The sequence below is a fragment of the Homo sapiens genome, chromosome 2, assembly GCF_000001405.40.
Source record: "Homo sapiens chromosome 2, GRCh38.p14 Primary Assembly".
Lineage (NCBI taxonomy): Eukaryota > Metazoa > Chordata > Mammalia > Primates > Hominidae > Homo > Homo sapiens.
Window position 1 is genome coordinate 262,787 of NC_000002.12, and position 16,771 is coordinate 279,557.

A 16,771-nucleotide genomic window follows, 5' to 3' on the forward strand; every position below is an offset into this window, starting at 1 on the left:
CTAAACAGAACAAAAGTATCAAATCACTTTTGATGAGCAAACATTATTTTAAACTTTTTTTTAACTTACAAAAGATGAGGGGTAACATTTACTAGTTTTACAGAAATTTTCTTTAAACAGAACATTAGTGAACCAAATAACCAATTCTCCTCAAACATGATAGACAGGATGGAGGTTATCACTTTGATCATTTTAACCTCCAACATAGTAATTTGTAAACATCAGTCGCTGCACAAGTATTTTAATAACAGGCCAGCCCACGGGAGTAAACAGCACCTTAGCCTCGAGACCTGTTCTCTCAACTGTGTGTACAGATTTTCTAAGTCGTTATGAATTCAGATATTCCCTACATCTCAATAAAAACACCTAGGAGAACAAGAAATCAGGACATGCATCTCCTGTAAGCAGAAGAGAAACCGAGCACCTGCTCTCTTGCGGGGGGGCAGCTTCGTGTCACTTTCCAACTCAGCCTCCACAGGAGCATGGGCATATTGGTTCAAATGAAGTGTAAAGGACACATCTCTGTCCACAGTGTAAATCCTATTTCCTTAAGGTGGTCAACCGATTGAGACCAGTTCCACACTTCCTTAAAGAAGGAAAAACTCAGCAGCCAGCGCCAAGGCCCAGCGATCAGAGAGGACCCGTGCTCGCCGCGACCCCGCGCTCGCCCTGTGGCCCCGCGACCCCGGCGCCAGGTGTTGGGGGGACCGGCCCTTCCCTTCCGGGTGTGAGGGGCTGGCCCTTCTCTTCCAGGTTGGGGGGCTGGCAAACTCGAACCTCGCCGGCGCCCTAGCCAAGGCCTCCTCCCCGCGCCTGCCGCGGGTTCCACGCACATTCCAAGCGCGCGCATTCGACCCAAACTTCAGAGACGCTTCTGTGGAACGGAAGGATGGTCGCTGACACCTCGCCGTTCAAATATCAGGAAGTTAAAAATAACACGACCATCGTCATCATTCCAAACTTCGGAATAGCTTTTCTAAAAATGGAAAAGACGGTGGCTAAACTTCAATCAAAATCGCTGTGGTCAAGAAAGTCCTGGAAGCTGCTCTATCTTAACTTTGGGCGGTTTGCGGTTAACAGACGCGCGACCTAGAAACCCCAGAGGCATCGCCGGTTTTCCCGTCCTCCTCCTCCCACCACCGCCCAGCTCTTGAGAGGGGAGGGTGCTGCCGGACAGGTGGGTCCCCGGGTACTCACTGCTGCCCGCCCGGCCGCGGCGCCCCGTCCCGAGGCTGCCCAGGAAGAGGAAGGCGCGCTGCCCCGCCCCGCGGACAAGGAGGCCCCAGCGAGGGCGTACCTGCGGCAGGTGACGAAGGAGGCGGCGCAAAACACCCGCCGTGTACGTTTCGCGGGACAAAAACCACGCGCCCGCCGGGCCGCGCTCAGGCCTTCGCCCTCAGGGACTTCGGAACCGCCCCGTCCTCAAGATCGAAAAGCCCAGAGCCCCGCGGCGGCTCCAAGCACGGTGTTGGGGGTGGGGGTCTCAGGGAGCGCCCAGGCCCAAGGCCGCCCTGGTCCGGCGTGGACCCCGCGGGGCTCAAGGCAGGTTCCCCGCGTGACCCGCCCAGCCCCTCTATGCGAACTCGAACGACAGGCACCACAGCCCGCCACGTGCGCGAGACTCGCGCTGTGCCCCAACCCAGGTGGGCGGCCCGCGGAGCCGCGAGGCCTGAGCCCGCCCTGCAGGTGACCCGCGGCCCTTCCTCCTCCAGGTACCCCTCTCCTGCGGCCCCGTCCCCTATAGGTAACCTTTACCTCCCGCGGCTCCTTCCCCTCCAAGCGACCCGCAGCCCCGCCCCCTCCAGGTGACTCCCCCCCGCCAACCCCCGCCACCACACACACACACCCCCTCGCCTTCCGCGGCCCTACTCCCTCCAGGTGACCCCACCCCCGCAGCTCCTCCTCCTCCGGACAACCTGCAGCCCCGCCCCTGCAGGTGAACGGCGGCCCAGTCCCTGCAGGTGACCCGCGGACCCTCCCCGCCCGTCCTACTACCGTCATAGGACCGCCTCCGCAGGCGCACTGGAGCCGATTGCGCAGGCGTGGCTCTCACACGCGCTGCCCTGTTGGCGTTGGTGCGGGACTGCGCAGGCGCGCGGGGCAAGAGGGTGGCAGTGCGCCTGCGCCGCGTCGGCGTGCGGAACGCCGCGGTGTCTCGGCGCCTCTGCGCGCGGGAAGATGGCGGAACAGGCTACCAAGTCCGTGCTGTTTGTGTGTCTGGGTAAGAGGGCGCCGACTTACTCATGTTCTGACGTCCTCTGGAGAGTTGGATCGGGCTTGTGCGCTGTAGGTTGTGCCGCCGGCCTAGGAACCATGAGGGGGAGGAGGCCAGGGACTGGGAGGCCTAGGGTGTTCTAGGAGTGTGCCGCAGCGCCCCTGTTCCCCATCCGCCCCGTGCACCCGCCCAGCCTGCCCGCTAAACCTGGGTCCCCTCGCGCCTGCCATATATCCGGGGCTCTTGGCATCTGCAGCCACAGCCCCTACAAGCCAAGGTACTTTCTTTGCGACTACTAGAATCCCTCTCGTTCCCCTCCAATGGGCCCAGGTAGGCCTGGAGGTTGTCGGACTGATGTGGTCTCTTAGGGGCCTCCTGAGTCCTATGACAACATTGTTTTGTTTGCTAGTTTCCTTAGCCCATGCTTAGATAGGGATCTGAGTTAAAGGGAGATGAAGTTTTACGGTTTCGGGTTTCTTGATTGTAAAAGCCAAGCAAAGGAGACCTGGAGGTCCCTATATAACTTTGGCCCATGAAAAATGAAAGTGTATTTTATTAATGGCTTTTCAGGAACTTTCCAGCTTAAATTATTTTCACTCCTAGAATTTCAACACTTAGCTTGCCTTACTTCAAACATAATTTATTTTCCGTTTGGTCTTCAGGGATCTTCCTTTGGTGTAGCACTACAAGGTTATATTCCTCGGTGCCTCCACCCTGAGAGGAAGGCCTAAATTGTCAGTAGTCCGGTTACTTAAAACCTTCTGTGAGTTTGCATTTCCTGCAGTTTCTGTTTATTTTTACAGACTCCTCACTTTATCTCCTGTACCTTTTCCTGCTCACACCCTCGGGACACTGCCTTCCAGAACCTTTCGTTGTTCGGTAGCACTTCACATGCTTACTGAGCCTTCATCGCTGGGTGCCCATTATGCATTTTGCCTGGAAAGCCTTTTTATTTTATAAAGTCAAACCTAAATATTTCCTCCTTTGCTTTCCCAGATCATGAGTTGCTTCCTTATCGACATCTTTTATTACACAAATTTTACTATAATTTGTGTAATATAGTAAAAGATGTAATACAGAAAAGGTGTGATTCCTTATCGACATCTTTTATTACACAAATTTTACTATAATTATTTGATAGTCTGTTGAAATCCCAGCTGAGTTTAATTTTGTCGATGGCAATAACTGTGGCTTATTTTTCATTTTGTTTTCAGCTTTAGGACAATATATGATAAACGCTGACTAGGTTTTGTAGAAGTTAACTTCTGTGAAAGACGAATTAGAAGGCTTACCTTGTTTCACATTGGTAGTGGGCATCATTTGATTTTTAAGACTCATTGAAGGCTGAATGATGAAATCAATAAGTTTATTAAACAGTAGTTTGGTTAAGGATGGTTACTAAATAATATTCCATTCCCTTGTATAGTTTTGGTTGGTATTGTCGATTATGCTGGCATAATGCATCATGGTTGCTGTTAATGGGGAAGTGTATCCTTGCATATACAGTAGTCCCACTTTAGCTGTAGGGGATACATTCCAAGACTCCCCAGTGGATCCCGAAACTGTGGGTAGTACCAAACCCAATTGCTGTCAATTGGAACATGTGTCTGCTCGTTTCTTACACCCACAAATGTAATACCGTTGCCACCTTAACTAAGCATTTAAAACTGTGGTCGCAACTTTTGCAGTTTGAGGCAAGACAGCAGACGATCAGGAATTTCTTTTTCCTTGTTTACATTTTCATGGATAGAAGATTTGTTCGTACTGTAGATCTTAGTAACCTCGGTATAAGTTTTTTTTTTCTTTCCATAAGAAGTCAAAAACTTTCACCTTTTTACTTAAGGGTAGTGCTTATGGCTTCTCTTTGCCGTATCTGAATTGCTAGCTTCACTACTCTTATGATTTCGGGCCATTATTAGTAAACTAAGGGTGACTCGAACTCAGGCACTGTGATAGCATCACAATGGATCTGATAAGCTAGAGGGCAATAGGTGGATAGACAGCATGGATATGCTGGACAAAGACGTGTTTCACTTCTGGGGCAGGACGGAATGGGATGGCATGAGAATTTATCCTGCTACTCAGAACAGTGCACAATTTAAAACTTAGGAATTATTTGTGGAATTCTTCATTTAATATTTTCCAACTGAAGCTGACCATGGGGTAACCATGGAAAGCAAAACCTTGGAAAAGAGGGGACTATTGTATTTCAATACAATTCAGTGATTTTTTGTTGTTGTTGAGCATCTACTATATGGCATGCATTCCTCTAAGTGGTGTGGTGAACACAACAGACAAAAATCCCAGCCTCTCTGGAGCTCACGTTCTCTCAGTCACCAGCAAGTATTAATTGATGTGCTCAATCGGTTGATGTGAAGATTAAGAAAAATAGAGCAGAAAAGGGGAATGGGAGTGGAGTGCAGTTTTGAGTGGGATGGTCAGGGAAGGCCCCACCTGATAGATGACTTTTGAGTAAAGACTTGAAGGAGGTGAGGAAGCAAGCCTAGGATATTTTGGAGAAGCATCCTGAACCCAGAGGAAAGCAGGTAAAAGTTTTGAAGGGAGAATACTGGCCATGGTCATGAACCGCAGGGAAGCTGCAGTGGCTGGGCCTAGTGGCCAGATAGTTTTTCTCAGTCAGGATTCCTCATCTATACCTGAAAATTTAGCAGATAATTTGAGCGCCTGTTTTCTCAGTGCTTCCATTGTAGATGTATAGGGAGAAGTTAATTCCTTATATACACTGGTCCTTTAGGGCAGGAGTCTGCAAACTCTTTGTTTAAAGAACCAGATTATAATTATTTTAGATTGGCTTCACATGACATACAGAAAGGGTGTAGCACAAAGTAGCCATCCATATGATGAACCTGGCTGTGTTCTAGTGGATCTTCATTTGTGGACATCAGAATTGGATGGAACTCTGTATAATTTTCACATGTCACAAGGTACTCTACTTTTAGATTTTTTCCAACTACTCAACAATGTAAAAATTATTCTTACCGCTGTGGGCTGTACATAAAGGCAGTGGACCATGAGCCGATTTTCAGACCCCTGTTTTAGGTCCAGATCTTGGGAGGCCATGTGAAGACTTGGGCTTACTCTGAATAAACATTGGAGGGTTTTGAGCAGAGGTGGGAAGTGATCAAATTTAAGTTTAAAAAAGAAGAGTTTCAGCTGTTGTTTTGAGATGAAACTGGAGGTGGAGCATGCCTTTACTGGTTGCATTCTGAGGGAATTTGAGCGGTAAATGGCATTTTACTTGGTAGCCATATAGAGGACAGTAAGAGTTGTATGCTTTTGAAATGTAAAAAACTTTGTTCATTCAAAGCATTTGTTTGGACCCTATTGAGATTGAAGTGTAGAAAAGCATCAGAGGTTTTTCATTGGTGAAGCTAATGATGGAAAATAATTGAGCTCCTTACTACAGCACAATTATGAAGGGTGCTTTATGTTTTTGCAATAGAGACTTATTAGTGAAGATGATGCAGGAGCCATGACCCAGCCAGCATGGTTGGTGGAGATAGCACATGCTGGTGGAGTCACTTTACTTCTGGGCTACACCCATACTGGGTGCTGGGTCTCTTACCAGGTATAGCAGACACAGCCCCACCCTCCCAGAGCCTATCTGCCTTTTATGAGTCTCCATCCTTGAATTGAAGATGCTGAAGAAGGGTATAAAATAGTCTGCCTAATTTGGAAAAGACAAACTTGAGACTTTACAGATTGAAACATTTTTTAAAGGCATTTGAAGATGGAATGTTCTGTTTTTAGAACTTGTTTGATAGGCGAAACCTGAAGTACATGCAGTGTTTCACTGATGACCGGGGTGCTCCATTTTTTCATAACAAAATTTGGTGGCATCAACTTTCGAAATCAACAGGGCAAGCTACTGCTAGCCTTTAGGACAGTTAATAATGCAAGTTTTCATATTGTTGTGGGGAAAGTAAGCTGTTATTTTACAGTTAAAGATAATTATTTGTAAACGTGTGGGGCTAGTCTTTATTATATTTTTAGATGCTGAGATACTAGGCATCTGTTGTTCTACAGATCCAAAATAATAATTGTCTTAATTTGGAATACAATGTTTGCTGTTAAAAATATTCCCAGGGTATATGGTGACAAGTAAAAGAGTTACACACCCATGGGAAGCCTTTCAATAATTAAAATAGTGCTGATGACAATACCTGTTTAGAAAACTAAACAAAATTTAGAATGTCGAAAGGAAAAACTTCACAACACAAATTAGCATATAGAGGGTATTCAAGGCTAATTTGTTGTCTTTCCCTTTATGGTTTGTAGGTAAGATTTTTTACTGCTGTGGAAACTACAGTCTCTGTGGGAAAAAAGTACGTAATATGCTTAGGTCTTACAATGTAGAAACTGAAGGCTGTAGTAAGGCAGTGAGTTGGTTTTCTGAACTAGGGAATTAGCTGTGTTTTACAACACTAGAAGATCCTCATTGTATTTGTTTATCATAAACAGAAGACCCTAATAGTGATAAAGAGTAAACTCTTAGTTAGTGCTGCCTATTCTCACAGTTCCTCTTTTTCGTATCTGTTTCCTAAATTCAGCTCCTAATGTCTGGACTCAGTGTGGTGCTTTGGCATTAAGGAGACTGGAAGGCCTCAGAGCAGCCCCAGAAGCAAGGTCGTAGAAACCATCATTTATCTTCCCCAGCGCAGATCATAGAAACTAGAACTCCTCTCCTGCAAAGCAAGCCATAAAACCTAGAAAGATCACTCTCTCCCTTTTGCCTTCTCTTGAAGACAGCATTTCAGAGGGGCCCTGCCTCATTCCTGGGGGAGGAAATGCTGTGGCCCTGCTGGGTTTCCCTCAGTCTGCTACCATTGGATCATTTCCTTTTGTCCAGTGCCATTTCTACACAGCTGTGCATTGGTCATCTAAGCATCAAAACCGTTTCCCTGGGTCTTTGGGTCTTCATTTCTGAAGGCTCTTGTTAACCTGTCTTTTGTTACAGGAGTATCTTCCATGACCTTTATGATGGGTGAGGAAAGCTGCCACACCTTTCCACTCTGACACTGTCTTGTATTTGCTCCTTCATACGAGCCTCTTACAAGGTCTCTCCAATTCAGTCATGTGCTCTTCTAGTGTTTCCTTAGCTGTGCCGGTAATTTTGGTAACTTGTAGGAAGGGTCTGTGTTTTAAACAACTTTCTGTCTTCAGGTTAGGGCACAGTGCTTGGCACATAGAGTTGGCATACAAAATATGTTTGTTGAATAAGTCATATTACCCTTTTCCATAGGACTTTCTATTTCTCCTCATAGTGGCTACGCAAAGTTCAAATGTTGGCCCAGTGTTTTAGGGCTCCTGTATACCAGCCCGTCAGTTTCCAGACACTGGCTCTCTGTACCTGAAGCATCGCAGCCTCACCTGCTTAGTGCCACAATCCCTCTGAGTTAAATGCCTTTCCCTTCCTCTGTCCATTAAGATCCTGATCATCCTTTTAATATCATCTCTAATCTTTCTTTTTTCTGGTAAGAAATTTTCTTATATCTTGTTTTTGCTTTGTAGCATCGTTCTTTTTCTGTGCTGCTGTAGTGTATTGTTTATCAGCATTCATTTTCCCACTTTTATTATAATAAATATAATAAATAAAGTGGAGATAGAGTTCAGCTGAATGGCCAGTGATTCAACCCATTGTGTCTCCCTCCGAAAACCCCAATAAAACCTCAGAGCACTATGGCTCTGAGGAGCTTCCTGGGTTGGCAGTGCTCTTTGAATATTGTCTCATGTTGATGACAGGAGAGTAAGGTGTCCCAGAGGACAGTGGAGCTACCTGTTAGGGAACCTCCCAGAATGTGCCCTATAGGTCACTTGCTTTGGCTGTTTTGTTTGTTTGTTTGTTTTTGTTTTTGTTGCTGTTACTATAATGAAATTGTAATGGTAAGTGTTCTGCTTTCCTGAGTTTGGGGAGTAATTCTAGGGAATTATCAAACCTGAGGGAGCCCTGGGGAACCTGGATTTCTCACTTGCTGGTCTAAAGTAAGGATGGCCCTGATGTCGACATCGTGGTCTGGAGAGTGGTGTCCCTGACCTTGGGCTGCTAATGCCTGGATCTGTATCCCTGGGCTCAGGGCTTTGCATGTGATCGCTCAGTAAATGTTGGTGTTGAATCGCTGTTTATGCTTAAATGCATGTTTGTGTGTTTGTGTATTGTTTTGTGAAACAGTAGTCATCCTTATGTGTGATATACTTGAAAATACATACAGTTGACCCTTCAGCCACAGGGGTTTGAACTTTGAAGGATTTATTCGAGGAATTTTTTTAATCAAGCACAGATGGAAAATACCGTGTTGTCTGAATGAGAAACCCATCTGTATGGAGGGCTGACTTTTCCTATACTTGGGCTCCACATTCTCAGGGGCCAACTATAGGACCTGAGTATGCACGTTTTGGTATACTGGGTAGGGGTGGGAGGGTGTCCTGAACCAGCTCCTGAGTCTACTGAGGGACAGACCACTGTATTTTATTTTTATTCTGTTGTATTTCATTTTAAAATAAGCTGGTTGCAACCCACTTCATTTTCGTGATTCACTCCTGGATCATTAGTAGCAACTCTTTAAACAATAATTTTTGTTGAAATTGTTTTTCTGATATCTTTGTCATCTGTACTTGGAGTACTTGGCTGGTTGGTGTCAAATCACTGAACTTGAGCCTGATAGGCTGTTCTCCAGCAGGGTCTACCCTCACTGGTTGGACAAAGGCGTCAAAGGATAGTGTTGGCCTTTGTTTTTCCTGAGGGATAGCACAGCCCCCGTGTGTCAGGTGTGTAAAGAAGGGGAGCTGGCATGTGCCCTTCCATCCAACCTAACCCTGTTTCCCCACCCCTCCCTTTTTTTAAAGGTAACATTTGTCGATCACCCATTGCAGAAGCAGTTTTCAGGAAACTTGTAACCGATCAAAACATCTCAGAGAATGTAAGTACCATTCATTATCTTAAAGAGGCCAACCTGAACTCCTCTGGGCAGGAAATTGCAAAAAAAAAAAAAAAATTCCATGTTTCTTCCCCTGCAGTGGAGGGTAGACAGCGCGGCAACTTCCGGGTATGAGATAGGGAACCCCCCTGACTACCGAGGGCAGAGCTGCATGAAGAGGCACGGCATTCCCATGAGCCACGTTGCCCGGCAGGTACCGTCCTTGGACTTGAAGTTGTGTGTTTTGTGTTTCAGTGGGTCATTGACAGCGGTGCTGTTTCTGACTGGAACGTGGGCCGGTCCCCAGACCCAAGAGCTGTGAGCTGCCTAAGAAATCATGGCATTCACACAGCCCATAAAGCAAGACAGGTAGACAAGCTCTTGTTCAATTTCTAATATATAGAGTCCAGTAACTTGAGAAGTAGCGAAAGGATTAACCAGACTTGTATATTAATGAATGTGTTTATTTAGGGTGAGCTTAACCAGCTATGGTGTGTCCATTTTGTTTCACTTCTGGTTGCACGGTGTTGAAAGACTTGCCTGACTTTGGAATTTACTTATTAAAATGCACATAAAAGCTAGGTAATTTATAATGAGAGAGCCTGACTGTGAGCTGGGGCTGAGCGGTGCTCTGTCTTCTGTTCCTTCCTGCATAATTTTTATTAAACATTTAGGCCATAGTAATCATCCTGCTGATATTGCAAGTTTGTTGCTAGAATGAGGTTATATAATATATACAAAAACATTTTTTCAACTGTAAAGTGCCTTAGTAATATAGGGTAATACCAGCAACATTATGGATATATAATTATAGTCTATTGGGCCACACTTAAGTTTGGAGTCTAATAAAGTCACAATCAAATTCTGCAATTTCAATTGAAGATAACCTTGTCTTTATATTATGAATTAGAAGCTAAAGTTGATTTTTCTAAGAGTTCTTTATTTAAATGAAGTACTCTGGGACTGACCTTTTCGGAAATGGAATCTTCATTGGTCAGGTGATTCAACATTTTTATACAATTTATCCATCCTCATCTCTTCAGGATTTGCATACCTTGCCAGTTTCTACTGGCCATTGTTGAAAATACATTTATTTGGAGAAGTCCAAAGCCAAGGGGCTCATGGGGCTGTGAAGTCCTTCTTGCTGCATCGTCCTGTGGTAGAAGGTGGAGGAGTCAAGAGAGTGCCCCAGAGTGAGTGAGAGCGAGAACTAGAAAAACGGGAAGAGGGAAACAGAGGAGAGAGAGAGAGAGGACCCATCAGTGTCAGGAGCCCACTCCCAAGATAGTGGCATTAATAAAGATCCTGCGTCTCACTATTGTTGCATTGGGGATGAAGTTTCCAACAAAGGAACTTTGGGGGACACATCCAAACCATAACATAGGATTTAAATAATTTTACAGAGTTCAAGAGTTCTGCTACTGAACCGTTTGAGATCCCTGTTCTGAGGTCTCATCACTTTCCAGTTTTAGCAGGAAGAGAAGTGGCAAGTGGCAGGAGTCTGCAGATTGGGGCCTGCACCTTTTTTTGAGGCACCTTTTTTATGAACAGTGTTTGTTGGAACACAGCCAGACTCACTCATTCACCTGTAGTTCGCGGCTGCTTTTGTGCTAGAGCAGCACAGCCAGAGCGGCCTGGTGGCCACAAAGCCCGACTGTCTCTGCAGCACTGGTTTTTTATATGGCGTTTCTAGTTGTTTTTAGTAGTAGGGGTGATTTGCCACAAGCTGTTTCATTTATAGCTGCAAGTGGAAATCCTTTATTGTGCATTTGTTACATAAGTTATAGCTGTTTCTTTCTCAATTATTGTAACATCTAAAAATTATGTAACAGTTACTAAGTCTTTTTTTATGAAAAATTTACAATTAGTCCAGAATTTAAAACAAGTTTAGTATTAAATCCTAGGGAATTTCTCACATAACTAATTTGGAGAAATAATATAATACTGTTCAGGCATGGTGGCTCACACTTATAATCCTAATAACACTTTGGGAGGCTCAACATTGCTTGAGCCTAGGAGGTCAAGACCAGCCTGAGCAACATAGTGAGACCCATCTCTACCAAAAAAATTTTAAAAATTAGCTGGGTGCTATGACATATGCCTGTAGTCCCAGCTGTTTGGGAGGCTGAGGTAGGAGGTTGGCTTGAACTCAAGAAGTTGAGGCTGCAGTGAGCTATGATCACACCACTGTACCCCAGTGTTGGTGACAGAGTGAGACCTTTTCTCTAAAAACAAAAAGAAAAAATTCAGTATTGTACTTATTCTCAATTTTGAAATAAGTCAATGTCATGGGAGTGTTGACGAAATACAGTCTTTTCTAGCTACTGGAAGTGCATACTAAAAGCCAAAGTTTCTCATTTTTTAGAAGAACAGGTATACACTTTCCACCTTTGTTCCGCAGTACGTATGTTTATGTTTCTTATTCTGCCATTATTTATAGTAGTCGAAATTCACAAAATAATCTTTTCATTTGTATTTTAAGTAGGTGTGTTTATAGATTATATCAGAAAACAATCATAAGCTTTCAGGTTACAATCAGTAGAAATACTGAGTGGCATTCTCTTCTGTGTGAGGTTTAAATTATGGATAGTCAATCAAAATAAAGGAGGACTGTCAGTTATCACTCCTGTGTTTCTTTCTTAGTGACCACCTCTGACCACCCAACTTAATACTTTTACTCCTCCCTGCCCCAAAGCTGTATGTATCTCCTCTCTGCTTTATTTCCTCCAGGGCATCTGTGCCTCCTGTGTGTTGCCTGCCCCCATGTGGAAGGGCAGCTCCATGGGACGCGGCTCTGTCCACTTAGCTTGGTGTTTGTTACTGGGGCCCAGGATGTTCAGTGCTTGTGGAATGAAAAATAGAGTAGAATAATGAAGGGGATTAAATATGTGACATTTTAGTATGTTGACTGTATTATACACTGCTACTAAGGAATTGAAGCCGATGTATAAACATTGTGTCTACACATTATACTATTTTATGATTATTGTATGGAACTTTATAATACAAAATTTCTTTGCAGTACAATTTTGAGAAATAGGTTAACTCTATTTTAACTTAAAAGTACCCTAAAAATTATTTAATTGTTTATTAGTGAGTAACAGGCTCAAATACAGCAGTTTTTTTTTTCTTTTAGTATTGCTTTGCATCCTCTAGGCTTGAATGGTATAAACACTGTGTTTTGACTTCTTATTCAATTTTAGATTACCAAAGAAGATTTTGCCACATTTGATTATATACTATGTATGGATGAAAGCAATCTGAGGTAATCCTGTTTTTGAAGAATATTTCTGTTCAACTCTCAGTTCAGCAGTGGGCCAAGTAATTTGTTGTCCAGATTTACTTTTTCTATTTTAAAGGTTTTAATAGTCAGTGATGGTCACCATATGTAGAATTATTTTATTTAGAACAGCAAAAAACTTAGTAATCTAGAATTGTCTCTTAGGTATTTACAAGGAAATACACCTTAGAAAAGGGAAAGTCTAGTTGTTAATAGCATGATTTAATTGGAAAACTAGCTTGGCTGTTATAGTTTTGTATCAAGCATATTGTTCTGCATGAGAACGATTTTGATATTTTTGCTGTAATGATTCCTGGGCAGGGCAGTGTTTTATTGATTCTCAGGTCAAAGCTCTGCAACCATAGGTTCCTATTATTATCCCATCTTGTAAAAGAAGGAAGTGAGAAACGGTAATGTTAGGTTATGTCCCCGAGTTCACACAGCTAGCATGTGGTGGATGTCATGGGATTTAAGCCTAGGCTCAGTGAGGAAGGGCCCTGCTGTATGCACCCCTGCCTCAGTCACCACCCTCCTGACCTGCCCCAGTCCCATGTTCAAGGCGTCATCGGGAACGGATCATAATTTAATGTCACTCCAGGATTCTGACTTGCATCACTACTTATTCATAAATATCTCATGTTTTTGATGAAGATAAACTATTTGTGCTTTTAATTACTTTTGTACAAATGAACAGATAGGGATGCACCAGTTTCAATTATTTTTTATTAATTAGGACCTTCATTAAAATGCATGTATTTTTTAATTTTTATTTTTCAGTCCTTATTCTGTTCTCATTGTTTTTGCTGACACCATAGCCCATAGGCATCGTAAAAACACCTTTTTAGGAGACCCCATTTGCTTTGACTGGCACTGAGCACCGTGTTTCTTTGCGTGTGGGGCAAGTGGAGTTCCTGCAGCCTCACATTTGCACGTGCTGTTCCTCTGCCTGGAAGCTCCTCCTTGCTTCTTGGGTCATTCGGCTCCTATTTGCCCCTCGTGGGTCAGCTTAAATTCATTTCTTGATAGAGGTATTCTGCTGCCCTGTCATTAGGCCAGATTGTGCATTAGACTTAGGCCTGCCTGCAGTTCTCATTCCTGCACCTAATCCTGAGCTGTAAAACTTCGTGCATGGGAGCTCTTGGCTGTTCCGTTCCCACATAAAGCACGTACCTGACTCATCAACTCATCTGTCGCAGGTGCTCAGTCGAAATTTGTTAAATAAATGGAGGCGCTTAGTTAAGTTTGCCTTTTTCTTTTGTAGCAATGTGAAAGCTAAGGGTGGAAGTCTAGAGTGAAGCTGAGTTTTCAGCTTGGGCAGAGGCTTAAGGAATAAAAGATGGAAGAGTAATTAAGGAGTGGGTCGTGCTGTGGGAAGTGCTGTGTCAAGACACCTGAGGATGGAATTGGTAGCCCTCTGTTTTGGGACTGGTTCAGATGGTGTTTTGGGTTCCTTTCTATGACCTTTATCTCTGAAACTTGATTGTCTTAAAATGTATTTTGTGGGAGAAAATATAATTATTGTATATTTTGTGTAACAGAATCAGTGAGAATAAGCTGCTGTCGCAAACTGTCTTGCCTAGAGAGAGGGCAGTGGCATACAGCTGCAGAAGGGGCCACACGGGCCTGCTGAGTGTTCCGTTTCATTTCAAATTAGGTCATTCTGTCTTGATTTTGATATGGATGTTTCAGAACACCCTAGCAGATGTCCCTGTTTAACTTGAAACCATAGATCAGAAAACTAAGTTCATATTTCAATTTTACAGAGATTTGAATAGAAAAAGTAATCAAGTTAAAACCTGCAAAGCTAAAATTGAACTACTTGGGAGCTATGATCCACAAAAACAACTTATTATTGAAGATCCCTATTATGTAAGTACAGTTCACGTTTTAGGGCTAATATGAAGACCCAACACATTTGTATCCTGCCATATTAAATAACAGATGAGATTGTGTTAAGGATGTTTTTGTTATGCAGGTTTTGCCATTTTCTTCTTTTTCCTGTCCATTTAGGGGAATGACTCTGACTTTGAGACGGTGTACCAGCAGTGTGTCAGGTGCTGCAGAGCGTTCTTGGAGAAGGCCCACTGAGGCAGGTTCGTGCCCTGCTGCGGCCAGCCTGACTAGACCCCACCCTGAGGTCCTGCATTTCTCAGTCGGTGTGTAATCACGTTCCAGGGCCCAAAGCCCAGCTCTTTGTTCAGTTGACTTACTGTTTCTTACCTTAAAAAGTAATTGTAGATGGAAATCAGTTGTGTTTGGCAGGAGAATCAATAAAAATCTTTGATTCAGACAGCTTATGGGGTATTTTAAGCATTCTTAGACTAGTTGAACATCTCACTTTGCCCCAGTTACAAAAATAGTAGAACAAGCAACATAAAACAATGAAGGAAAACCTCACTTGAAGGCCCAGGTCAACATCTAAGCCTGTTGAGACTTAGATAATCGAGTCTACCTCTTCAGTAGGTTTGTGTGGATGGCCTGGAGGGCAGGTGCCCTCTGCTCCCCAGTGCTACCTCTCTCTTCCCTAGGGCCTTTTGTGGATTGACAGTAGTCCCCTCCGTAGGAGCTCACAGTCTAGATTAGAAGTGTTTTAATTTCTACACACCCATAGTGCACACTTGTATATTGAAAAGATAGGGAAGAGAGAAACATTTATGGAATCAGTCGTTGGCACCTTCAATACTTCATGATTTTTGTCGAGTTTACTTCATGAGGAGGTCAGCCCATTGGCTCCCATCTGAACCACTTTGCCTCTGAAACTTAATTACATCCAGAAAGAAGGACACTTGTATGCTAGTCTATGGTCAGTTGAGGAATATGACTGTTTTTATATGCACATGTAACCCAAATGTCCAATATAAATTGGCTTATTTTTTAAAATAATTTTAAAAGTTGGGAAAAGTGTTATTATTTGGCATGCTTAAATATTGAATAAGTATTCTTCATCAGCATTTAATAAATGTATAGGCAGATGTAAGGTAATTTCTGTGTATTTTGAGATAATGTCAAAATCATGAATATTTCAAAATAAACTGGGGAGTTATAAAAATACAACTAGAGATATAAATCTGGTGTCTGCCTGTTTTTTTATTGACAGGTAAGGAAGCATTTGAAAACATTGTATTGTCCTTTTTACATGATCTGTGATGTTAGGTGTGCATATTTTATCTTCAGGATAAGGAAGTAAAATGATGAAAATAAGCACATTGCTGCCCCATGTCATCATGTCTAGTTTCTGAAGGAAGTTTGAGGTTCTACAGCTGGAACTGTCCTTGCCCAGTACCATCCTCTGGACATGTTGCCTCTACGCTGTGCCCTCCTGTGCAGTGATGCACAGCTGCCTGGCCAGGACATCTGCACTCCTGACCTCAGTATCATGAGGGTCCCAGGCAGTGCCATGGGGAGGAGACACGTTTGATCCTTGACTCCCTAGTATCTGGAGGATAAGCTGTTGCCAGATGAAAGTGAGTAGTTTCCCCACTGTACCATGTGGAAGTGCCAGGCTGTCTTCATAGGAAGAAAGTTTGCAAACCCAGTGAGTCTTGCTCTTGTTGGAATTACTCAGACATACAGAAAACTGAGGGGATTAAATATTAATAGATTGGATATTTGAACATGAAATCCTTAAAACATAAAAAATGGGGAAGGAAAGGTCAAGTAATGAGCTGTAATTAGAAAACAGGATTAAATAAGAGCACTTCAAAAGTTACACCCTGTTCTCTTCATTCAGTAATTGCTTTTAATCTCAAAGTCAAAATTTCTTACTCTTCTATTCCTTTATGTTTGGAAATAAAATCCTATAGTTTTTCTTTAATGTTTATCTCTATAAATACAGATCCTCAAACAAATCCTAGGACTCTTGACTATTCTGTCCTTATGGCTACACCCAGACGATACCATCTGCCGACAAGGGCTCATATGAATGGAGAAACTCATTGCTTTGCCGAATTCAGCTTTTTAAATTGGATCCAATTAGATTTGTTTAAAATACATCTACATCTAAAATTCTGAGACTGCTTAGAAGTCTTAAGGTTTCTCCTAGTTAAGCATTTTCATGATTACAAAATCGCTTGGGAAATAATGGATACAACCTTATTTGGAATATTTCCCAGCAAATCAGGGACTATCTTAGGAAATTATGTCACCAATATATAGTAGCCTTTACTTTAAAAAAAATGCTAATTATCCCTTAGAGAAATTCTTAGGCTTCAAGTTTTCATTTGTTTATGGCTTTCATATTCTATGACCTTTTGCCAGTGTCATGATCTCTCAGTAAATCAGAAGTCACGAATTCCCAACAGTGAACCTGTTAAAGAGGTAGAGAGTCACTTTGAAGACTAG

At 43.1% G+C, this 16,771-nt stretch overlaps 2 protein-coding genes across 10 annotated transcripts in view, besides 3 other annotated features; one reads left to right on the forward strand and one right to left on the reverse strand.

The window, feature by feature from the left end:
• SH3YL1 (SH3 and SYLF domain containing 1) overlaps positions 1 to 2,038 on the reverse strand; it is a 46,689-nt gene extending 44,651 nt beyond the window's left edge. For 2 of the 6 annotated variants that reach the window (NR_104224.3, NM_001282682.2), the window contains exon 1: positions 1,996 to 2,038. Coding sequence is in view for 2 of the 6 variants with exons in the window: in NM_001159597.3 (NP_001153069.1) it covers position 1,198 (1 nt within the window). In the remaining 4 variants the exon portion in view is untranslated. Of the gene's footprint in view, positions 1 to 1,197; positions 1,247 to 1,297; positions 1,607 to 1,916; positions 1,958 to 1,995 lie in introns of those variants that run through there. The other 4 variants (NM_001159597.3, NM_015677.4, NR_104225.1 and 1 more) reach the window with 3 other exon arrangements.
• Positions 1,142 to 1,721: a silencer, noted in NCBI's record as "silent region_11098". NCBI's record gives its function as "represses an Ori minimal core promoter by ATAC-STARR-seq in GM12878 lymphoblastoid cells {active_cell/tissue: GM12878}" and the evidence as "EXISTENCE:reporter gene assay evidence [ECO:0000049][PMID:35858748]".
• Positions 1,792 to 1,871: a silencer, noted in NCBI's record as "silent region_11099". NCBI's record gives its function as "represses an Ori minimal core promoter by ATAC-STARR-seq in GM12878 lymphoblastoid cells {active_cell/tissue: GM12878}" and the evidence as "EXISTENCE:reporter gene assay evidence [ECO:0000049][PMID:35858748]".
• Positions 2,161 to 15,497, forward strand: ACP1 (acid phosphatase 1). 4 transcript variants are annotated; one of them, NR_024080.2, is made up of 7 exons: positions 2,161 to 2,221; positions 9,080 to 9,153; positions 9,251 to 9,279; positions 9,406 to 9,519; positions 12,354 to 12,415; positions 14,194 to 14,299; positions 14,441 to 15,497. NR_024080.2 is itself a non-coding variant. In NM_004300.4 (6 exons), exons 1-6 carry the CDS (start codon positions 2,179 to 2,181, stop codon positions 14,516 to 14,518), a joined length of 477 nt encoding a protein of 158 aa, NP_004291.1. In that variant the 5' UTR covers positions 2,161 to 2,178; the 3' UTR covers positions 14,519 to 15,497. The 4 variants fall into 4 exon arrangements, 3 of the variants coding, with proteins under 3 accessions (NP_004291.1, NP_009030.1, NP_001035739.1); NM_004300.4 differs by lacking the exon at positions 9,406 to 9,519 and having other exon boundaries at positions 9,251 to 9,364; NM_007099.4 differs by lacking the exon at positions 9,251 to 9,279.
• Positions 2,222 to 2,271: an enhancer, noted in NCBI's record as "active region_15215". NCBI's record gives its function as "activates an Ori minimal core promoter by ATAC-STARR-seq in GM12878 lymphoblastoid cells {active_cell/tissue: GM12878}" and the evidence as "EXISTENCE:reporter gene assay evidence [ECO:0000049][PMID:35858748]".

Coding starts and splice junctions, on each gene's coding strand:
- ACP1 (NM_004300.4), top strand. CDS start 2,179: ATGGCGGAACAGGCTACCAAGTCCGTGCTGTTTGTGTGTCTGG. Junction 2,222..9,079: donor CGTGCTGTTTGTGTGTCTGG/GTAAGAGGGCGC, acceptor CTTTTTTTAAAG/GTAACATTTGTCGATCACCC. Junction 9,154..9,250: donor ATCAAAACATCTCAGAGAAT/GTAAGTACCATT, acceptor CTTCCCCTGCAG/TGGAGGGTAGACAGCGCGGC.